This window comes from Homo sapiens, chromosome 20 (genome assembly GCF_000001405.40).
Source record: "Homo sapiens chromosome 20, GRCh38.p14 Primary Assembly".
In the NCBI taxonomy this organism is placed as follows: Eukaryota; Metazoa; Chordata; class Mammalia; order Primates; family Hominidae; genus Homo; species Homo sapiens.
Genome location: NC_000020.11, coordinates 21,507,739 through 21,527,204, shown reverse-complemented (window position 1 = coordinate 21,527,204; position 19,466 = coordinate 21,507,739). Strand labels below are relative to the sequence as shown.

Genomic DNA, 19,466 nt, shown 5'->3' with positions numbered 1-19,466 from the left:
CAATGAATGCTACAAGCCTCTAGGTGAAAAGTTGTTGGAGAATATGGGGATATTTACTCAGTGACAAAGAATATTGAAACAATGCCAAAGGTCACTTATCCCTCAGTGACTTCTCAATCACTTACTAATTCACATGAGATGATTTGGTGGTCACCACCTTAACCAAGTGATCAAACTTAGCCTGTCTAATAGAAGAACATGATTTGCCTCCTAATGAGATGCAATGTGACACACTACCTTGTGGCATTCTTCCCACAAATGTGTAGCATATGCCTCATCATGACTCCAGATCTGGCATCCAGTTTCCAGTTATGCAGGGGTAGAAGAACAAGGCAGATAACACCAGGAGAAAGCAATCTGGCAAATCCAGAATGTAGGGTGTTCTAAAAATGCCTTGGGTTCTAAAAAGTCAATGTCAGGGAGGGAGGAAGGAAAGGAGGGAGGGAGTAAGATAAGGAAGACTGTTGTAAATCAAAAGAGCATAAGGACATTAAAATATTTTGTAAACCAAATACAGTACATGAGCCTTGAATAAGTCCTGGATATGGAAAAAATAGACTGGCTATAAAAATACATTTTGTTTTTGGTAAAATGTGAGAAATGTAAATAAAGAATTAATATCACACAGTATTATGTAACTATTGTTAATTTTTAAGGTGTGGTAATGGTGTCGTGATTATATTGAAGAATTGTATTGTTAGGAGATGCCTGCTGAACTATTCCATGGGGAAGTTTCTGCAATCTTCATTCCAAATAGTTCAGCAAAATGAAAGTACACTTATATAGAGTGATAAAGTATATGTGGCAAAATACTAACAAATGTTGAATCCAGGTGGAAGATACCCAAATGTTCACTATTCTTTCAACTTTTCTGTGTGCTTGAAAATACTCAGAATAAAAATTGGGAAGATGGAAGACAACTTTCAGGATCACCTGTCTTCCCCCAGTGCCTCCCTCCCCTCCTAGCTTCTATCCCAGCACCTTCTAGCCCACATAAACAAGAGATGCATTGGCTTTTTAAACAGCTTTATTTTATTGAGATGTAATTCGTACACCATACAATTTACCCATTTAATGTGTACATTAATTTACCCATTTAATGTCTACTGAATATGGCTTTTAGTGTGTTCACAGATTTGTGCAACATCACCAAAATCAATCTCAGAGCATTTCTCTCACCCCAAAAAGAAACCTCACACCCCTCAGCCCTTACTCCCCAGCCCCCCAGCCCCTATCTCCCAAGTCTAGGCCACTGCTAGTCTGGTTTCTGTCTCTAGATGAATTTGATTGTTGCTTCTTGAAGATTTTATACATGTTGCCAAATTATTTGGCTGTGGCCAACTCTTTAACAAAACAATCTGTGTCCTGCAGTGTCTGTTATCCCAGTTCTCTGGTTCTCTGCAGGAGATAAGAAGGAACTGGTATTACTCTTGGCTTCTGAAAGCCCAAGAGCCTCATAAGACCATGACTCTTGCCTTCTGGCTCTGCTGCTGAAGGAACTGAAGGAAGAGCATCAAGTCTGCTGGAGAGCACATTCAAACTTTCACTTGCTGAGGGCACACGGAGAGGCATTGCCCATCTTCAGCTCCCCATTGTGCACTGGGATCTTTGCAGAAGTACATTGCTTCCTGAGAGCCCTTTGTGGTCTGGGGTTGGGGTACTTACTTCCTTCAGACTCCGTCTCAGCTCTCACCTCCATGGTGCCTCTCTGGAGGCCACACGTGAGGCTAAGGTAAGGTGTGAGCAAGGCACTTAGCTTCCTTAGTTGAATCAACTGCATAGCAGGGCCAACAGCTATAACAAGCAAAGAACTTCTCCATGAGAGGACCTTTGAATAACTCTTTTCAAGACAATTCCATTATATCCTAGTTCAAGTCAAAACACACTAGAGTATTTATTTCCGCTGACTATGTGTTGACTTGCAAGTGAGAACTGATCACTCCTAGAGGGGAACAACTGTAGCTGATGGTGCGTCTGCGGGGAGCTTCGTGGAGGAAGGTTTTTCCAGTGTGAAAAGTCAGTGAATTTTGAGTCCATGAGTAGGACAGGAATGTTTCTGAAGTAAGAATAGCATAAAAGATGGTGGAACTAAGAACAGCATGCAATCTGTTGAGGTTGGAGGATGTAGTGTATGAAGTTTAGCACCGGATTGCTGAATAAGGCCAAAGAGAAGAAACAGGAGTTGTATCTAAGCAGTCGTATTTCATTTATGCTTGCTCCCCACTGCATCTTCTTTGTCATGGATTTTTATTATCAGTTAACTAGTAGATGCCCTGCTACATTTGCTGGTTTAAAATGGGTTTTCCTAACTAGGGAATGATGTAAAGCCTGCCTTGATATACTCTTTGCTTCGTGTCTCTCAGTTTTCCACCCTGGGAGCACCAGACACTGACTTTCTAAGCTCCTTGTCTGCGTCTCAATCCTCTGCCTAGCACATATCTGTGGTACATGCAGGAAGAAAGCATGAGCTTCTTCACAGGGCACTTGTGAGACAAAGACACCCATTCCCACGAAGACTACAAATGTGAAGGCCTGCCTTCAAATCCCCTTGTCTAATTTTGGTCATGAAGCAATATTTTCACCCAAAGAAGCAATTGATCTGTAATCTCAGCGCTTCCACTTGGAGGTAATGTAAACCCAAAAATAGACCCTATAGTTTGGTTTTTAACCATAAATAAAGATGTAAAAATCCAAGAAAAAAGAGTGAAAAACAGTGTAATTTCCCAAGATCAACCACTCCTGTAGCCCTGAAGCTAGTCCCAGGTTTTTCTGCAGTTAACTAAAGCTTTCTAGGAGCTCATCTAAAGCCCAAGAGAGCAAACCCAGAGAGTCACTGTTCCTGCTCAGCACTTCAGGTTCAGAGGTTCATTTTATAGCTCTTTTTGCCCCTATCAAATGGGTCTCTCCTCCCCACCCCCAGCTCATGTTGGTTCTCCCCTTCTCTCCCACCCTCTTTCAACAGCATCATTTTTCCACCCTTAACAGCCACCTAAGGACAGTTATCTAGTGAACACAGACCTGGGGTAACTGGTAATAGTAAAGTGAAATGCTTATGTTTTTCCCTGCAGTAGGGCAACATTTTTCATCTCTTATTTTCCTTGGCCAGACGGAAGATGCCATTCAGGGAACCCCAGGTGTTTTGAAGATGAAAAGGAAGGTAGGGGGCCTGGCTCAGTGCTTATTAACCACAGAGAGAATTTGGTTCACTTCAAGAAATAGTAAAATAATGGCAATGGAGAGACAATGACTGTTAATGAATTCATGTGAGTAAAGTGCGAGGTGACCAGTTTGGGGACATGCAGTCCTAAGGCCGCCTTCTGAAGAAGGAAAGCAAAACGATTGTTTTCTATTAGAACAGAGTATTTACTTCCCTTTCCTGCAGCACCCAGGGCCACCGGATTCCATATTCCGAGGCCAGGGCTGCCTCTCCCAGTGCTCCGGCTGCCCCTCAAGTTAAATAAGGCAGGTGACATGCGACACTGGAGTCGACCACCGCCCGAGGCAAGAATAATTTCAGGTGCTCCCTCAGCCAGGTGAACTGCTCCGCTTCCCAAAATCCTTCCCTCAGGGCTCAGGAGACCCCACCCTCAAATCCCGCCCACCCACAGAGTTGGGCATCTCTAGCACACTACCCTTGCTGTGTCAGATCTAGGTCCCATGAAACGTATCAACTGCCTGGAAAATAAAACAGCCTCCCAGGGGCCCGTAATAAAAGGAAGCCAAGAGCAGGGGAAAGAGGAAAGCTACGGAAATAAACCCCAGAGACTGCCTTTAATCCTGGACAGGTGGCATTTTGGCACAAGCGCACTGAAATCACTTTCCTCCTGGGCTGCAGGGGTGAATCCCTTTCCCGGCAAGACCGACACCCCTCAACCTGGAGAGGAGATCGTGCTGGGGGAGGAGCCTGGAGCCGGGGCGAGAGGTCTGTGACCTCCCGCGAAGTCGTGCTATCGGCCTTGGATCCGCGTATCTAGTGTAAACGCGGTTTCACACATAAATAACGTGCCACATCTGGCCCTTTGGTTTTATGGCGTCTTAGCGACCGAGCAATTTATAGATGGCGACCTTGTTAACCAGCAGTCCGGGCTCGCCAGGAGCTGCGGAGTCCAAGGCACTGCTGGGGACGGAGGAGGGGCGAGGGTCAGGAGAAACCTGGGGTCCCAGATCTCCTGCTCAGAGGGGCGCAGGAGGGAGGGAATCTACCCGCGCGTTTGGGGGCAGGGGGCCGAGGCGGGGTGGAAGCCCCCTCCCCGCAAAGCCTACCATGTGGCAGCTGAAAGAGCCATCGAAGCCCAAGTGTGTTTGCGCTCATACCCAATTTATTACCGCTGAACATATGGCCAATATTTTGACTCACGTCAGTCCGGCAAGGAAAACAAACAGAGCGCGCGCGGCGCGGGGGAGCTGCCCCCTCCGCTGGGGCTGCGCGGTGGCCGCGGGGCCGGAGCTAGGAGGGTGGGGCCGCTGGGCCGGGAGCCTGGAGCCAGGAGCCCGGAGCCGGGAGGGGGAGCGCTCGCCGGCCGCGTCGAGCCGCCGCCCGACCGCCCGCGACTCCGCAGCCGCCCGCGACTCGGGATAAAGAGCGGCCGGGACCTGCGCGCTCGCCCAGCCGAGGCTCCAGCGGCGCAGTCGCGCTCCAGGTGAGCCTCCAGCTCGCACGCGTTTCCGGTGAACGCGGGATGGGGATGGCGCGGGGCACCCGGCGGAGCCCGGGAGCCGCAGCGGAGCCCGGCGGTGGCGATGGAGGAAGCCCGGCGTCGCCCTCGCTGCCAGGCGCTGACTGTCTGGTCCTCCTGCCACAGCCGCCCGGCGCGGGAACGCGCTCCGGGCACGGTCACCGCGGCCTGCCAGCAGAGAGGGGTCTCGGGGCACCGTCGTCGCCGCCGAGCGGCGCCGGAGCTCGGGTTCACGGCGGACCCCGGTTATGAGCCCCTCGCTCTCCCGGGTCCTGACTCGGCTCGATCCCCAAGCCGCGTAGTCCGGACGCAGCAGGTGGGCAAGTGCGGGCCTCCGAAGTTCTCCCCGACTTTGCGGATCACGGCAGGAGTGGCGAGCACTCGAGGACGGGCAGGGCCCCTCTGTCGCGCCTGCAGTCAGGAAAAGTTTTACCAGCCGCCGAGGCCAGGTGATCCCGCCGCTGCGCACTTTCCGGTGCGGTCAGGGAAAGCGGGACTGTCCCAGGGGCTGGGAAGGTGCGGGGCTGGGAGGCGGAGGAGGAGGGAGGGGCGCGGCACCCGCGGCGGTCCCCGCCTGCGGTCCCCTGAGCCCCGCCTGGTAGGGCGCGCGGTGGGGGAAGGGCGCAGAGCGAGGGGGGTCCGGGTAGGTGGAGTACTAGATAAAGACGCGCCTTGAAATGCGGCGGGGCTGTCGCCGCAGCTCCGGGAGTAGAAGGCGGAGCGGGCGCGCGGAGCGCCTGGCTAGCTCCCTCCCGATTGCCCGGGGCCGGTTGCGCCTCGGCTGGCGGGGCCGCGGTGAGGAAGGGGCGGCCGCTGCACCCACCTCCACCGGGTAAGTCGCCCCCTGTGCGTCGCAGGGAGCTCGGGATCGGGGATTGAAACAGAGGCAGAAGTCCCGAAGGTAATTTGGAGATGGCGCCCAGTGGAGACAGGGGCTTCTCCTCAGACGGAACTGGGACGTGAGGGGACGGTGGTGATGAGCACGAGGGCAAGTGGTGGGAGTCGCAGACAGGAGGAGCCGGGGCTGAGGGCCCGCGCAGTGGACTGAGGTCTCTGGAGAGGCGACTGAAGACTGGAGTTTGGGAGGCGAGTGTCGCCTGGGCCGCGCCCGGCGCCGGACAGTTCTCGTTTGTGTCAGTAGAGATCGCCAGAGGATCAGAAATGAACCTCGGTGGGGTCCTTGTCTCCGAGGGGCGCCCCCTCCGCCCCAACCTCCTCCCACAACACACACGCACACACTACCAGGAGGCCCTTTGGAGCTCCTCTGGCGCCTTCTCGACTTTAGTGGCTCTTGGGGGTGGAAAGGGGACGTTGCGTCTAGGGGAAGGTTGTGAACCTCTGGGGCTCACATTGGAGAGAGAGAGACAGAGCCCTAGGAACCCCCTCTCTGTGCCCGAGGGCCCAAGGGTGCATTCCCTGTCCTTCCCGGAACCAGCCCTTAGCTCCAGCTAAGAGCGTGCCTTCTCCGCGCCACCGACAACTACTTTTCACATCAGCCTGCCCGACCCAGCTTTAAGTGCTGAATGCAACCCGTTAGGAGAGCCGCTTGTTTTCCAAAGTCTTGTGGTAATGATTTTGTCACGTGTTAAGAAGTAAATTCAGATAAGAGAGTGCTTTCAGCGCGTGTTTCCTGGAGAAACCCAGATCTCCCGTATTGAAATCGCCCTCATCCGGGGAAGGTCGGGCTTGGCTGAAAGAACGTTCCTGAAGGCAACACTGACGATGCGTAATCTCATTGTAACATATTTAGTCATTAGAGCAGCGCGAACGAATAAAGCCAAGGAGTTCGCCCAGGGGGACGTGGCGTTTGGTTCCCCAATAAACCGGTGATAATGGATTGGCTGGGACAGGCTCGTTTGGCCCGAGGGGGGCTTAAAGCTAGGTTTTTAAAGAAAATATTGGAGAGAGGCCGGTTCCATTTTGTAGCGTGCCCGGAGCCACAGTTCGTGTTCAATTTAACATCCATGAAAGTTAAACGGCTTTCCTCGCCTTTTATTTTATTGGATGCATTTTTAAAGATCTCATTAAAGTGCATTTATCAAAGTCCTAACATATGCCCGCAGGGTCTTATGCCCACACAATGAAGCTGATTAATAGAAAGACAAATACTAATTTCTATTACTATTTACATCCTTGGGAGATATGTGCCCCTTTTGTGGTGGGAGGGAGGCAGATAATTGGGAAAGTGTTGTATATTTTGCCTTGAAAAAGAATAGGGAGAAGGGAGCTCACCTAGATGCCTTCCTCCTGCATCCACAGTTAATCGCAGGGGGACTCCAGGCTCTAGGTCCCAGGATCAGTTCTCTCCGTGGCATCAATGGGGTTCCCGCCACTCTGTAGGAACGGGGTGGGGATTTTCCCCCAGACACAGAATCTGAAAGTCTCTGGGCCTGGAGAACTTATCTACCCAACTCCTTCTTAGTTGACTTGGGAGGATTGTCCATCTGGGAGGCATCCACTCATTCTTCCCTTCCTGGGGCAATTTAAAGAGTTAATATAATATGGACCAAAGGAAAAAAAAAAACTCACCTTAGGCTTGAACCCAAAGCAGGCTGAGATTTCCTTTCTTTTCACACTAATGCCCACTTTCTCGTCCACCTGTCCAATGGCTGTGAGTCTCTCCTGCCAGAGATCTGCCGGGCACGGTCTGGCCTCTCCAAAGTTGCAGACTCACACAGCTTTAGGCCTCCCCAACCCAGAGACTCCACTCTGCCACCCCACAGACAGAAGGGATTTCCTATGACCCTGTTTCCTTCTCCGGGGGCAGAAGGTGAGGGCAATTGGAGCTGGGATGGATTTTCATTTTCTGGTTAGCAAAGGTCCCAGCACGGGGTAGTACTCCTGGGGTGCATTCCCCTATTTCTTTCATCCAGGACGTGAGAGCTGACACCTCTGCTTCCTGCAGCCCCTGCTCCCGCATTGGAAGTCGAAGCCAAAGTGGGGCTGTTTTGGAGATGCCATCCTTAAGGTGAACGTCTTTATCGCCACACTCAGGGACCAGATTGGGTGACATTTTCCTTCCCCATTGATTTCAAGTGCATGCCACGCTCTGAGTCTCCAACCCAAGATAAAATAAACCTTCCCCCTCCGACAAAACCTTTGTGTCCGCGCCGTTAATCCTTGCTGGAGCAGGAAGGTGCAACGCGCTTTGTTTCCGGAGTGAATGAAGACAAACGCTTGCACCTTGGCGCTAACCAGACAATAAACTAATCCACTTGAAGGTTGTTATCTGAGATGGGATGTGCGAGGGCCTGAGAGCTCAGCCACATACTGTACCAGGAAAGGAGTTTCTTTTCAACCCTTTTTCATTCCAAAAAAAAGACGAAGAAATGAAATGAAGTCAAACAAATTAGTGTTTCCAAATAAAGGGAAAAGACCTTGTGTGTTTAATGATTGGAAGCGCTTTTGTGGGTGGGGAGTGTGAGGTGTGCCGCCTAGGGCTGCTGAAGCTTTGGGCTCCTCAAGGTCGCCCCCTCTTTAGAGCAGGCCCCAAGACCCCACCCCTACCCCCGAAGACTTTCTCTGCCCTTTACTCCCCAGGAGGACAGGGGGCAGGTACCTGCACTGCAAGCTTTCACCACCGGCTTGAACGGGGAAGGATGCGAGCGCCGTCTCCAAAGAGGTGCCCAGAACAGGGATGGGGGGAGGGTCGGATGCCGTCCACGGAGCCCACTTCTTCCACAGGCACAAGAAAGGCTCCCCTCCGTAGGGTGTGCCGAGGCCTCGCCTGCTCTCCTGTATCTTCCTTTCTTGCCTGGTTTGCTGTTGTTTAGAGCGCACCCCCACAACAGGGGGCGTAAAGCTGAGGCGTGGGAGGGCAGAAGCCGGGAAAGCAGGGTGCCTCTGGGCGGCCCCCGTGCCCTGGAGCGCAGAAAAGGCGCTCGTGTTTGAGCTACCTGGGAAAGTAAACAGGTAAACACTGAGCCGACTTAGAGGGCCACTTGTCCTGGAGTGGGGCCACTTAGCCTGTGTACATTCGCCTCCCCTCCTGGGCCTCCGGCGATTGTTCAGCCTCCCCGCGCCCGCTCCAGCCGCCTGAACCCGAACTCAATTCGTTGCGGAACCCAGAGCAGCAGAGAGAGCGAGGCTCTCCTCTAGCTTCCAGGGGCACAGGTTCTCTTCCTCCCCTCTCCTGCCTTTCCCCCGGGCGTAGGACTCCCAATGCGTCCGTTCTCAACCTAGGAAGAATGAATAGAGCTAGAGATGTGTACGGAATCTGGAGCCCCAATGCTGATAATAAAGATCGAGTTGAGGGGTCCAGCTGTTCAGGTTACCCCAGCAGGGGCGCGCGGTGTTCGGGACGCTAAGGAGACACCAAGCAAATCTCCTCCGGCCCGGGGCATGCTGGGTTCAGAACTTCCAGCACCCAGCTCAACTTCCTCCCCAAGCATGCAGCAGAACGAGGCATCTTGCAGAGTGCCTACGAGGTCTCCAGACCACGGCAGCTGAGCCCAAAGCTCAAACCCAAACTTGACGGAACGGAGGACATTGAACTCGCTTGGGTGCAAGACGGTACCTGGAAAGAATTTACTAAAGAATGCCGAGTGGGGGAGACCAGGAGCTGAAACTGGTGCAGGCAGACGCTGACAGGGTGGGAGTGGTGGGCCCTTACTGAAGAACCCTCCGGAGGGGGAAGGGAGCGGGGCAGGGCCTCTCAGCCTGCGGGTGTGCGGGATCGCAGAGAACCAAAGCTCCTGGGCTCTAGAAGGCCTAGCTGTGGTACTCTCGGGGAGGCCTCTTGGGGAGTCCTCAGGATGCAATCACCTGTTTAATTGGGACAGAAAAGGTGCGTTTGGCGCCTGGCCCCTAGGCTCTTTGGGCGCAAGCCGGGCCCAAGAAATTGAGGAGACACTGGACTGTGCTCTGGGCACCGGACTTGCCCTGGCCGCCAGCTGGGCCTGCGCAGGCCTCCCGGCGTCCACAGGCCGCTCCTGGGGGACTTGCATTTTATGATCTTCCACTAACAAGCCCAGTTTCTCCCCTTCAATTACGGACCTCCCAGCGGTCTCCCAGCGCCTTTTCAATTGCAAATGTTAACGCTCTGGAAATGGACGCGGGAACCACACGGACGAGAAGTGATGGGGAAATGAGTCTCGAGGTCCCGGGAGAGGCTGAGTGCTGTGGACCCGGAAGCACCGATCGCGGAGGAGGCAAGGCCGAAGCTCTCTCCAATTCTCTCCCTCCCTGCCCAGCTGCCCCCAGGCCAGGGGAAATAAAAACTGGAAGACTCGCTGGGGTGAAAGTGTAGGAGGGGCCGGAGTCCAGGAGGCGTCCTGCGAGGGCAGGGGAAGTGGGCGCCTCAGGTGCTCCGACAAGAGGACACCGCAAGCTGAGACCCAGAAGGATTCGGCTGGTCATTGAGGCTAAGGGGCAGGCGCAAAGGCAAACCCGACCTTTGAGAACTGGGCTGAGGGCCTCCTTCTCTAGGCGCCTATGGCAGCACTCCCTCCCCGTGATTAATTCCAGGAGCCAGGATTCCCCTAGGAAAGCAATCCTCTCTCAGGCGCTCTGCGGACCTTGCAGGCTCCCACGGGTGAGGGGAGGGGACTTGATCAATAGCAGCGGTGCTGATTTAGATCCTGAGAAGAAAGGGTCACTATGCTGGGGAAGGGGGAGAGAAGTTGGGAACTACATGGAACTTCAGCGAGGTGGTTCCCAGCTGAAGAAATGAACACGCTTTGGGAGGCCTCTGCGGGCACTCCCCCACCTAAGAGGGCTCTGGGGATATGCGAGAAACGACACTTGCTGCCAAAGACCCCTTTGCCACCTGACCCAAGAATTTGCCTGGCCCAACCAGATCCTATTCTGGGTCCCCAACCTAGTGGCTGCCCTGGACCCCAAGACAGCCTCCACCCCCTTAGGACTGAGGAATAAGAGGAGGAACAAAAGGAGGGTCTTTGCTGCAACGCTTGGGTTGAGGAACTTTTTTTCTCTCCAGTTATTTATTTAGCAGCTGAGTAACAATAGCAGTGGCAGGCCCACTCCCGCCCCTGGATCCAAACTCGACGCTTCCCCGACTCCTGGAGAACCAACTTCCCTCCTCCGACGGGGCAGAGCGACGAGCTCCCACGTGAAAGGGCGGAGGAGGGGGGGCGCTGAGAAAGACAGAGACGGAAAGCGAGCAAAAAAAAAAAAAAAGCACGAAAAGTAATGGGTTCGAGGAAGACGATTCAAACAAGTTTCTAATTCTTCCAGGGGAAAAAAGGGGGGAAGGAGGGGGAGAAAGGAGAAAAGAAAAAGTAGGAGGAGAAAGAGGAATCGGGGAGCGTCGACATGAAGGGGTTTCCTTAATATTGTGGACGGATTCAGAAATGAATGAAGAGATAGTCCATTGAAAAGGGTTGAATGCCATGACAACTAGGAACAACCTTAGATTTATTCCAAACAGTTAGGACACATTGAAAGAGAGCGTCAATCATGTATTATTTCGCCACTGAAATAAATGCAAAAACCGAGCCGGGACAAAGGCTTCCAACGGGAGCGGGACATTTGTCTACATTTCGCTCATTGTCCGCAGCTTAGCAATCGGTTTGTATTTGTGTTTGCCCGGGTCCGACCACCCAGGACGCGCCGACGAGGGGCTTGCTCTAACCTGGGCCATTGTCACCCACGTCACATACTGGGGGCGAGGCAGCTAGGGCTGCAGAAAGCCGCCGAGCGGCTCGGGGAGAGGTGCCCTCACCCAGCGCTGGCAACCCGGGGGCAGCTGGGGCGCGGCGGCGTCCGCTGCAGCTGCGCGCGAGGAGGACCCGGTGCCCGCGCGCTCAGCTTGGCCCGCGCGGAGGAGCCCAGGTTGTGGGAAGACTAGACCTGGACCCCGCAGGGGTGGCCTTCTGTGCCCCTCCCCGCCCCCAGACAAAGCTCCTTCCTGACACTCCTCTGGGGCGAACGAGCATCAGGTAGCCAATCTACACCCCTGCACCCCCCCCCCAAAAAAGTTTTAACTAGAAGAAGGGGTGGCAAATGCGGCGTGGTCTTTTCCAACCCCAGCGCCGAGGAGGAAGTGCAAGTCCCGGGAAAGTTCAGTTCCCAGAGCCGAGAGTGGCTGGAAACTTCACACTAACCTGACTTAACCTGGAAACGTGGAGCGCGTACTCCGAACGCACCCAAGGCGTCCAAAAAGAGACCACACTAAAGAACTCGCGTGGGAGAAGAAAACTGGGGAGAAAACGAGGCATCGTCGGGCCACCCAGCGACCCCCCTCCCCCGCAGCTTTCTGGGTCTTCACCCAGGCTGGAGACACAACCCCCACCCCCACCCCCGCAATCCCGCCCCGCCGCCTTCCCGCTGCTCCACCTCTAGCCAGAGGCTGGAGAGGGAGGGGGCCGGAGAGGGAGGGATAATAGAGGGCAGGAAAGAGCAGGGCCGTCTGCCCTTTCCTCCACCCGGGGAAAGAGGCCCGCAGAGCCCAGAGGCAGCAGGGCCAGGGTCCGACCCCAGACGAAGTTGGAGCTCCTCACTCTTACCCCGCCCTCCCCGGGACCGCCCGCAAAGCAGAAAGTGAACTGCGCGTCCTCCTTGGCCGCAGAGAGGTGGAGGCGGGGGGTTGGGGGTGGGAGGTGGGGGGAGGCGGAGTGAAGGAAATAAATGAGTCTTTAGCAAATAAAGGGCGGCTGGAAGGGGGCGGGTCGCTTGGTGGTGGCTCTGGCCGGCCCGGAGCGGAGCTCTCTCCTGGGTTTTGGGCTCTCTCGCGGTTAACTGGAATCAATTACTTGCCTTGTCATTTCTAGCACTCATCCTTAAGCCTCAACCAAAATATTGACCTAGGAGGCTTACAGAAGTTGGGCTCTTGCCATTTGAACCGGATCTTGTTTAGGCAACCACCAACGATGGAAAGGAGAGATTTCCGCAGCTCGGCCTTCGCCCCCTCCCCCTTTTCCAAAGGCGCCACAAATCGCCAATTTTCCGGCTTGCCGGGGGTGGGCGCGCGGGGGCGGGGAGGTAGGAACCGGTGAATGTTAAAGAGGATTTTTTCCCTCCTCCTGGTTTCTGTTTTGTTTTCTCCCCTCCTCCTCCCCACCCCCACCTTTTTTAAGATGCAATTTGTTAAAACGGCCCTTTCAAGTGTGTGGACTCGCGAGCGACGCGGTGGCCCTTTGTATGTAAATACTGGGTTTAAAAAAAAAAAGGCTCGCCCCGTCTTTGCAATTAATTGACACGTTACACCTCTCATCTTGCTCTAGAGGGCCGTTGGCTGGGAGCGCGGAGCTCCCCAAAACCCACAATTTCACATCTGCAAATACTGTCTTCATCCACTTGACTCCCAAGACCCGCCCACACGTGGCCAACCTTTGCGTTTTTAATGTCTCTTCCCCCTTTTTTCCACCCTTCTCCCGCTCCCTCTCTCGCTCCCCCTCCCTCCCTCTTTCTTTCCCTCCCTCCCTCTCTTTCTCCCCCTCTCCCCGCCTCCCCAGGTTCGTGAGTGGAGCCCAGCCTTATATGGACTGATCGCTCGGGCAATGGCCCATTTTTTCCTCGCCACCAGCCGCCACCGCGCGCCGAGCGGCCGCCGGAGCCCGAGCTGACGCCGCCTTGGCACCCCTCCTGGAGTTAGAAACTAAGGCCGGGGCCCGCGGCGCTCGGCGCGCAGGCCGCCCGGCTTCCTGCGTCCATTTCCGCGTGCTTTCAAAGAAGACAGAGAGAGGCACTGGGTTGGGCTTCATTTTTTTCCTCCCCATCCCCAGTTTCTTTCTCTTTTTAAAAATAATAATTATCCCAATAATTAAAGCCAATTCCCCCCTCCCCTCCCCCAGTCCCTCCCCCCAACTCCCCCCTCCCCCGCCCGCCGGGGCAGGGGAGCGCCACGAATTGACCAAGTGAAGCTACAACTTTGCGACATAAATTTTGGGGTCTCGAACCATGTCGCTGACCAACACAAAGACGGGGTTTTCGGTCAAGGACATCTTAGACCTGCCGGACACCAACGATGAGGAGGGCTCTGTGGCCGAAGGTCCGGAGGAAGAGAACGAGGGGCCCGAGCCAGCCAAGAGGGCCGGGCCGCTGGGGCAGGGCGCCCTGGACGCGGTGCAGAGCCTGCCCCTGAAGAACCCCTTCTACGACAGCAGCGACAACCCGTACACGCGCTGGCTGGCCAGCACCGAGGGCCTTCAGTACTCCCGTAAGTAGCAAAACTTGGCTGCCGAGGCCGTGGTCCCCTCCATTCCTGCAGCCGCAGCCCGGGTTGGACGCTGGGAGTGAAAGGGGAAGGGGCCATGTAAGCCCGGACCCCCTCACTCGGATCCGTAGAAAGATTTTTAACACCTGTATAGGATGTCCTCTGCCCTCCTCTTCAAGCCTCCTTAGTTCCGGGAAAGAACTTGGTCTCCAAAATTTTTTTCAATGCGAGAAGTTAAGGAGAAAGAGGGAGAAGGGCTATACCTCCCAGGGGCTGGTATATGATGTCAACCCGGACCGATGGCTCCAGCCGCAGCCCCCGGACTCCGGCCGCTGGGAGGGACTGGCCTGGCGCCCTGGAGGTAGCCAGCGAGCCTCGTCCGGGTACGGGTGGAGGGTGGGGAGGCTTCGGGTGGCCCGGGTATAAATAGCTCACCCTGCCCCCTGCGCGATCATAGAGGACGCTTTGTGCAGTGCAGGGGGTGTCTAGAAGGCCCGAAAGCAGAAACGAAAGCCCCCAAAAACCTGCCTTAAATGGCCGAGCCGATCAATGCTGGGATTGTGGGGTATTTCTTTTAAAAATCTGCCCACGTCTCGCCGGAGAGGAAACCGCTTAAGGGCGCCGGAGCCCTTAACCCGCGATGATCTTCAGTGCCACTTCCCCCCCCAAATTCTCACCCACACTATGTGAGCCCCTTGAAAGGCGAGCCCCTAGCCCCCACTCCTACGGATTTCCCTCTTTACCCTGGGAGGTCCCGACGTCTTCGTCAGGCGTAGAGGAAGGCAGGGGTCATGGCAAAGGCAGCGGGGCTGGGCTGCCAGGCGCGGAGGTCCAGGGTCGCACGGAGGATCCAGGGTGCTCCGAGTCTGGTGCAGGCTGCGCGCGGCCTCCAGACGCCTGACGCGCTTCTCTCTCCCCCTCCCCCCAGTGCACGGTCTGGCTGCCGGGGCGCCCCCTCAGGACTCAAGCTCCAAGTCCCCGGAGCCCTCGGCCGACGAGTCACCGGACAATGACAAGGAGACCCCGGGCGGCGGGGGGGACGCCGGCAAGAAGCGAAAGCGGCGAGTGCTTTTCTCCAAGGCGCAGACCTACGAGCTGGAGCGGCGCTTTCGGCAGCAGCGGTACCTGTCGGCGCCCGAGCGCGAACACCTGGCCAGCCTCATCCGCCTCACGCCCACGCAGGTCAAGATCTGGTTCCAGAACCACCGCTACAAGATGAAGCGCGCCCGGGCCGAGAAAGGTATGGAGGTGACGCCCCTGCCCTCGCCGCGCCGGGTGGCCGTGCCCGTCTTGGTCAGGGACGGCAAACCATGTCACGCGCTCAAAGCCCAGGACCTGGCAGCCGCCACCTTCCAGGCGGGCATTCCCTTTTCTGCCTACAGCGCGCAGTCGCTGCAGCACATGCAGTACAACGCCCAGTACAGCTCGGCCAGCACCCCCCAGTACCCGACAGCACACCCCCTGGTCCAGGCCCAGCAGTGGACTTGGTGAGCGCCGCCCCAACGAGACTCGCGGCCCCAGGCCCAGGCCCCACCCCGGCGGCGGTGGCGGCGAGGAGGCCTCGGTCCTTATGGTGGTTATTATTATTATTATAATTATTATTATGGAGTCGAGTTGACTCTCGGCTCCACTAGGGAGGCGCCGGGAGGTTGCCTGCGTCTCCTTGGAGTGGCAGATTCCACCCACCCAGCTCTGCCCATGCCTCTCCTTCTGAACCTTGGGAGAGGGCTGAACTCTACGCCGTGTTTACAGAATGTTTGCGCAGCTTCGCTTCTTTGCCTCTCCCCGGGGGGACCAAACCGTCCCAGCGTTAATGTCGTCACTTGAAAACGAGAAAAAGACCGACCCCCCACCCCTGCTTTCGTGCATTTTGTAAAATATGTTTGTGTGAGTAGCGATATTGTCAGCCGTCTTCTAAAGCAAGTGGAGAACACTTTAAAAATACAGAGAATTTCTTCCTTTTTTTAAAAAAAAATAAGAAAATGCTAAATATTTATGGCCATGTAAACGTTCTGACAACTGGTGGCAGATTTCGCTTTTCGTTGTAAATATCGGTGGTGATTGTTGCCAAAATGACCTTCAGGACCGGCCTGTTTCCCGTCTGGGTCCAACTCCTTTCTTTGTGGCTTGTTTGGGTTTGTTTTTTGTTTTGTTTTTGTTTTTGCGTTTTCCCCTGCTTTCTTCCTTTCTCTTTTTATTTTATTGTGCAAACATTTCTCAAATATGGAAAAGAAAACCCTGTAGGCAGGGAGCCCTCTGCCCTGTCCTCCGGGCCTTCAGCCCCGAACTTGGAGCTCAGCTATTCGGCGCGGTTCCCCAACAGCGCCGGGCGCAGAAAGCTTTCGATTTTTTAAATAAGAATTTTAATAAAAATCCTGTGTTTAAAAAAGAAAAAAAGAAAAAATCCCTGCCCTCCCGTTTGTCCTACTGCGCCGGGCCGGAGGCCTGGGCCTGGGAGCCGGGCCCGGCCGCCCGCGGGGCTCCCACAGGCGGTTCCTCTCGGGCGGGGAGGCCGGGGGTACCGGGGCCCTGGGGCGGGCGGGGCTCCCGGTGCAGGCCCCTCCGACCACAGGCTGCACCCCGCGCCTAGGATTGGGGCGGGGAGGAGAACGCTCGGCCTCCGGCCTGCGAGCGGTCGGCCGGAAGCCCAGGGCCGCCCACCCTCCCCCGCATCTCCCCTGGTCTCGCGCGCTGTCTGAACCCCGGGCGGCAGCGTCCGGCTACGGGAGGAAAAGTGACTTCGGGAGCCGCAAAGGCGAGGAGAGCAAACCCCCCTCGCTGGCCCAAATCTATGAGTGGCTCCTTCAGCCTGAGAAGCTGTTGAAGCCACTACACTCGATGACTTTCACTTTGTTACATTTGACTTACCTCACGCTAAGAAAGTGGGTGGGTGGGGGTCTGAGGTTAAGACTGGCTGCCTTCTCCCCACTCCCCACTCCTTTTCAAAATCTGCGGGCTGGTGCTGACCTAGGAGACCGCTAAGGCTGGGGGTGGGAACGGTCAGGGCGCGCGAGGCTTTGGCTTAGGGGGCTTGGGGGAAGTACGCGGGGTTCTGGGCTCGGGGGAGGGAGGGGATACTGCAGCCCTCCCTAGGATCTTTGGCCCCAGGAAGCCAGGGAGCGAGAATCTTTGGCAATCCCAGCAAACCATGCCTCTCCCTTCCCTTACGCTCCCATCCTTTCCGGGCTTCCAGGCCTCTCTCCGGGGACTGGATCCCGGGCCTCCTTCCCTCCAGCGTTCGGCGGTCCGAACCAGGGTGTGCGGTCCCCCCAGGTCAGCCCTTGAGCGTGGAACTGGGTGGATTGCTAGGAAGTAGAGGTTTGGGGGTGGGGTGAGCTCCCCGGATGGGAAGTGGGCACACAGCCCCGGGCACGCCCGGGAAGGGCGCATCCATCTTTCCGGCGGGGAACGGATTCCGTCCCACCCTTGTTGCTGGAGGAAGATCTCCTTGGCAGATGCTGGCGCACACTTGGCCACGCGGGGGAGCGTCTTAGGAAGCCTGGCCAACTGGAGGATGAGCCTTTCTCCTCTATCTCGCGGGTTTCTAAAAATACTTGGGACTCTAGCTCAGAGCCCAGCGGGTGCTGCAGACGCTGAGGGACTGAACGTCGGCGCATTTGGAAATTGTATCTCTGTTCTCTCCGAAGCTGCACCATCAAGGCTGGGGGGTTGGGTGGCAGTGAGGAGGCCGGGCAAAAGGAGCGGTCCCAGCTGACTTTCTCGCTCCCTGTAGTTGATGATCAGGTTTAATTCAATATCTAAAGCAAACATGATTATCCGTGCGACCAAATCTGTGCGTCGATAGCACTCTGCGCAGCAGCCCAGGGACGCGATGACACTTTATTCCCGCGTTCCACACCGCCCCTGGATAATTGAGGGCTCGGAAGTCTTTCTAATACCCCAGTAAAGGTCCTTTCCCATCTCCGGGCTCATCCTCGGGGAAAGGGCAGTTTTTCTAAATGCTAAAAGGTCTCCCTTTGTTCTCCACACTAGCTTGGCAATGTTTGGGGGCTTATGTCTTACTGTTTTTAAAGGCCAACGAATTTCTCCCAAATAGTTTGTTGTGCAATAATTGAACGCCCAACCTGCCCTGGTACTAACCACTCAACATCCACTTGCAACTTCCCCTAATCCCAAAATCCTCTTGGGAGGAAAGGTGAGGGTTTCAAGTCTCTTGGAGCGGAGCTGTCAGAAGGCCTGAGGCCATTTTGACTTTTCCAGGCCCCAGGGCTTCCAGGGTGAGAATGATCACAAGAGACCCTCAGGTTTCCAGAGAGGAAGGGGGAAGCGTGGAAGGTCCTCACCCTGGCAGGCTTCCACCACTTGCTCATTGAGGACAAATTTGGAGCTGTGGCCAGGACCGCGGGCCTGCAATCTGGGTGTGCGCTCCTGTGGCCGGCCGGGAGCCCGGGAGGTGGACCCGGCGCCCGCCTCTCTCTGTCCTCGGGTCCCCATGGAGTCAATAAAAGCGCCTGCGGAGCCCTGTGTGGCCCTAACCCCAGCGCCCTGGGAGCGCACCCGGCGCGGGGTCCGCTTCAGCAGTCTATCTTCGCCCAATCTACAGCGGGCGGTACAAAACCGCACAATGGGAAAGCTGGGAGCCGGAGATGTTAGAGGCGTGCATATTAAAAAGGGACAGAGAAAGGATCGCGGGGACAGAGAGAGGGGAAGAAGGAGAAGGGGCCCGCCCCCCACCCCCCGCCCCACCCCGCACCATTCAGCGCGCTTATCGCCGGCAGTGAATCCCGGAGTCAGGCAGAAGTCTCCTTGGGGTTTTGTTGGGCCTGTCACTGGGTCCCTTTGTCATCCACGGGCTCCATGCTGGATTCCATATGGCCAGCTGGGCCGAGGGAGCGCGAGGAGGGACCCGCACAAAACCTAAATTGTGTCCGGCTTTCAAACCCTGTATTGTTGTCTGTGAAAGGAAGACGCATTAAAAATTCGTGCTATATCTATTGGGGAGGAGGCTGGAGGAGGGGAGAAAAAGCCACCCCTGTCTTTGATGGCTTCGGAGGGCGCTTGCCCCGCCTAGGCCCCGTGACACTGAAAGTTGGATCTCTCTCATTCTGTCTCTCTCTCTCAAAATCTCTCTTTTTCTCTCTTCTCATAATCTCGCTCTCATAATCTCTTTCTCTACTTTCATAATCTCTTTTTCTCATAATCTCTCTCCCTTCCTCACTTCTCTCCTTCCTCTCTTCTGTCTCCTTGACTCTAACGCTGGGATGGGAGTCCGCGAACCTGCGTCTTCAGGGTTTGGCTCACTTGTGCGCACTTTGCTCACTGCTGTGTGTGTATCAGGAAACTAACTTCTGCCTGGGAGCTCTGCACCATCGGACCGTCCTGGGGCTCAGGAGGCAACTCAGGGTACCCAGGGCCTGGGTGATGCTCGGTCCCCTACGGGCTTAGCGGCTCCTGGGTAGATGAAAATCCACCCCCTGATTTCGCAACCGACCGGCCCCGAAGCGCCCGCGCGCGGAGCCGCCCTTCCACTCACCGCGAGAAAGGTTCTGAGAGGCCAAGGGTGCCGCTCAGTCCCGGGCCCAGCTAGACTTGGGCTGCAGCCGGTTCCAAGGCGACTTGCGCCCGGCCGGACCACTTGGTTACCAACCCCGAAGAGCTAAAGACGCGCGCGTTCCTTTGAATTATGCGCGGGGATCCATCCCACTGGCCTCTTG

The 19,466-nt window shown here is 55.8% G+C and overlaps 1 protein-coding gene across 4 annotated transcripts, besides 4 other annotated features; it reads left to right on the top strand.

Moving 5' to 3' along the window:
- Positions 1 to 4,515: 4,515 nt before the first annotated feature.
- On the top strand, positions 4,516 to 16,188 carry NKX2-2 (NK2 homeobox 2). Of its 4 annotated transcripts, none has more exons than NM_001424412.1 (3): positions 4,516 to 4,640; positions 13,091 to 13,794; positions 14,720 to 16,188. In NM_001424412.1, exons 2-3 carry the CDS (start codon positions 13,536 to 13,538, stop codon positions 15,280 to 15,282), a joined length of 822 nt encoding a protein of 273 aa, NP_001411341.1. In that variant the 5' UTR covers positions 4,516 to 4,640; positions 13,091 to 13,535; the 3' UTR covers positions 15,283 to 16,188. The 4 variants fall into 4 exon arrangements, with proteins under 4 accessions (NP_001411341.1, XP_047296108.1, NP_002500.1 ...); XM_047440152.1 differs by lacking the exon at positions 4,516 to 4,640 and adding an exon at positions 5,364 to 5,508; NM_002509.4 differs by lacking the exon at positions 4,516 to 4,640 and having other exon boundaries at positions 13,141 to 13,794.
- Positions 5,502 to 6,316: an enhancer, noted in NCBI's record as "H3K27ac-H3K4me1 hESC enhancer chr20:21501527-21502341 (GRCh37/hg19 assembly coordinates)". NCBI's record gives its function as "activates a minimal SCP1, AML or CMV promoter by ChIP-STARR-seq in naive H9 embryonic stem cells {active_cell/tissue: H9 hESC(naive)}" and the evidence as "EXISTENCE:reporter gene assay evidence [ECO:0000049][PMID:30033119]".
- Positions 10,944 to 11,444: an enhancer, noted in NCBI's record as "H3K4me1 hESC enhancer chr20:21496399-21496899 (GRCh37/hg19 assembly coordinates)". NCBI's record gives its function as "activates a minimal SCP1, AML or CMV promoter by ChIP-STARR-seq in naive H9 embryonic stem cells {active_cell/tissue: H9 hESC(naive)}" and the evidence as "EXISTENCE:reporter gene assay evidence [ECO:0000049][PMID:30033119]".
- Positions 17,822 to 19,292: an enhancer, noted in NCBI's record as "VISTA enhancer hs1205". NCBI's record gives its function as "enhancer in: hindbrain (rhombencephalon)[6/8] | midbrain (mesencephalon)[4/8]" and the evidence as "EXISTENCE:transgenic organism evidence [ECO:0001131][PMID:17130149]".
- Positions 18,205 to 18,724: an enhancer, noted in NCBI's record as "H3K4me1 hESC enhancer chr20:21489119-21489638 (GRCh37/hg19 assembly coordinates)". NCBI's record gives its function as "activates a minimal SCP1, AML or CMV promoter by ChIP-STARR-seq in naive H9 embryonic stem cells {active_cell/tissue: H9 hESC(naive)}" and the evidence as "EXISTENCE:reporter gene assay evidence [ECO:0000049][PMID:30033119]".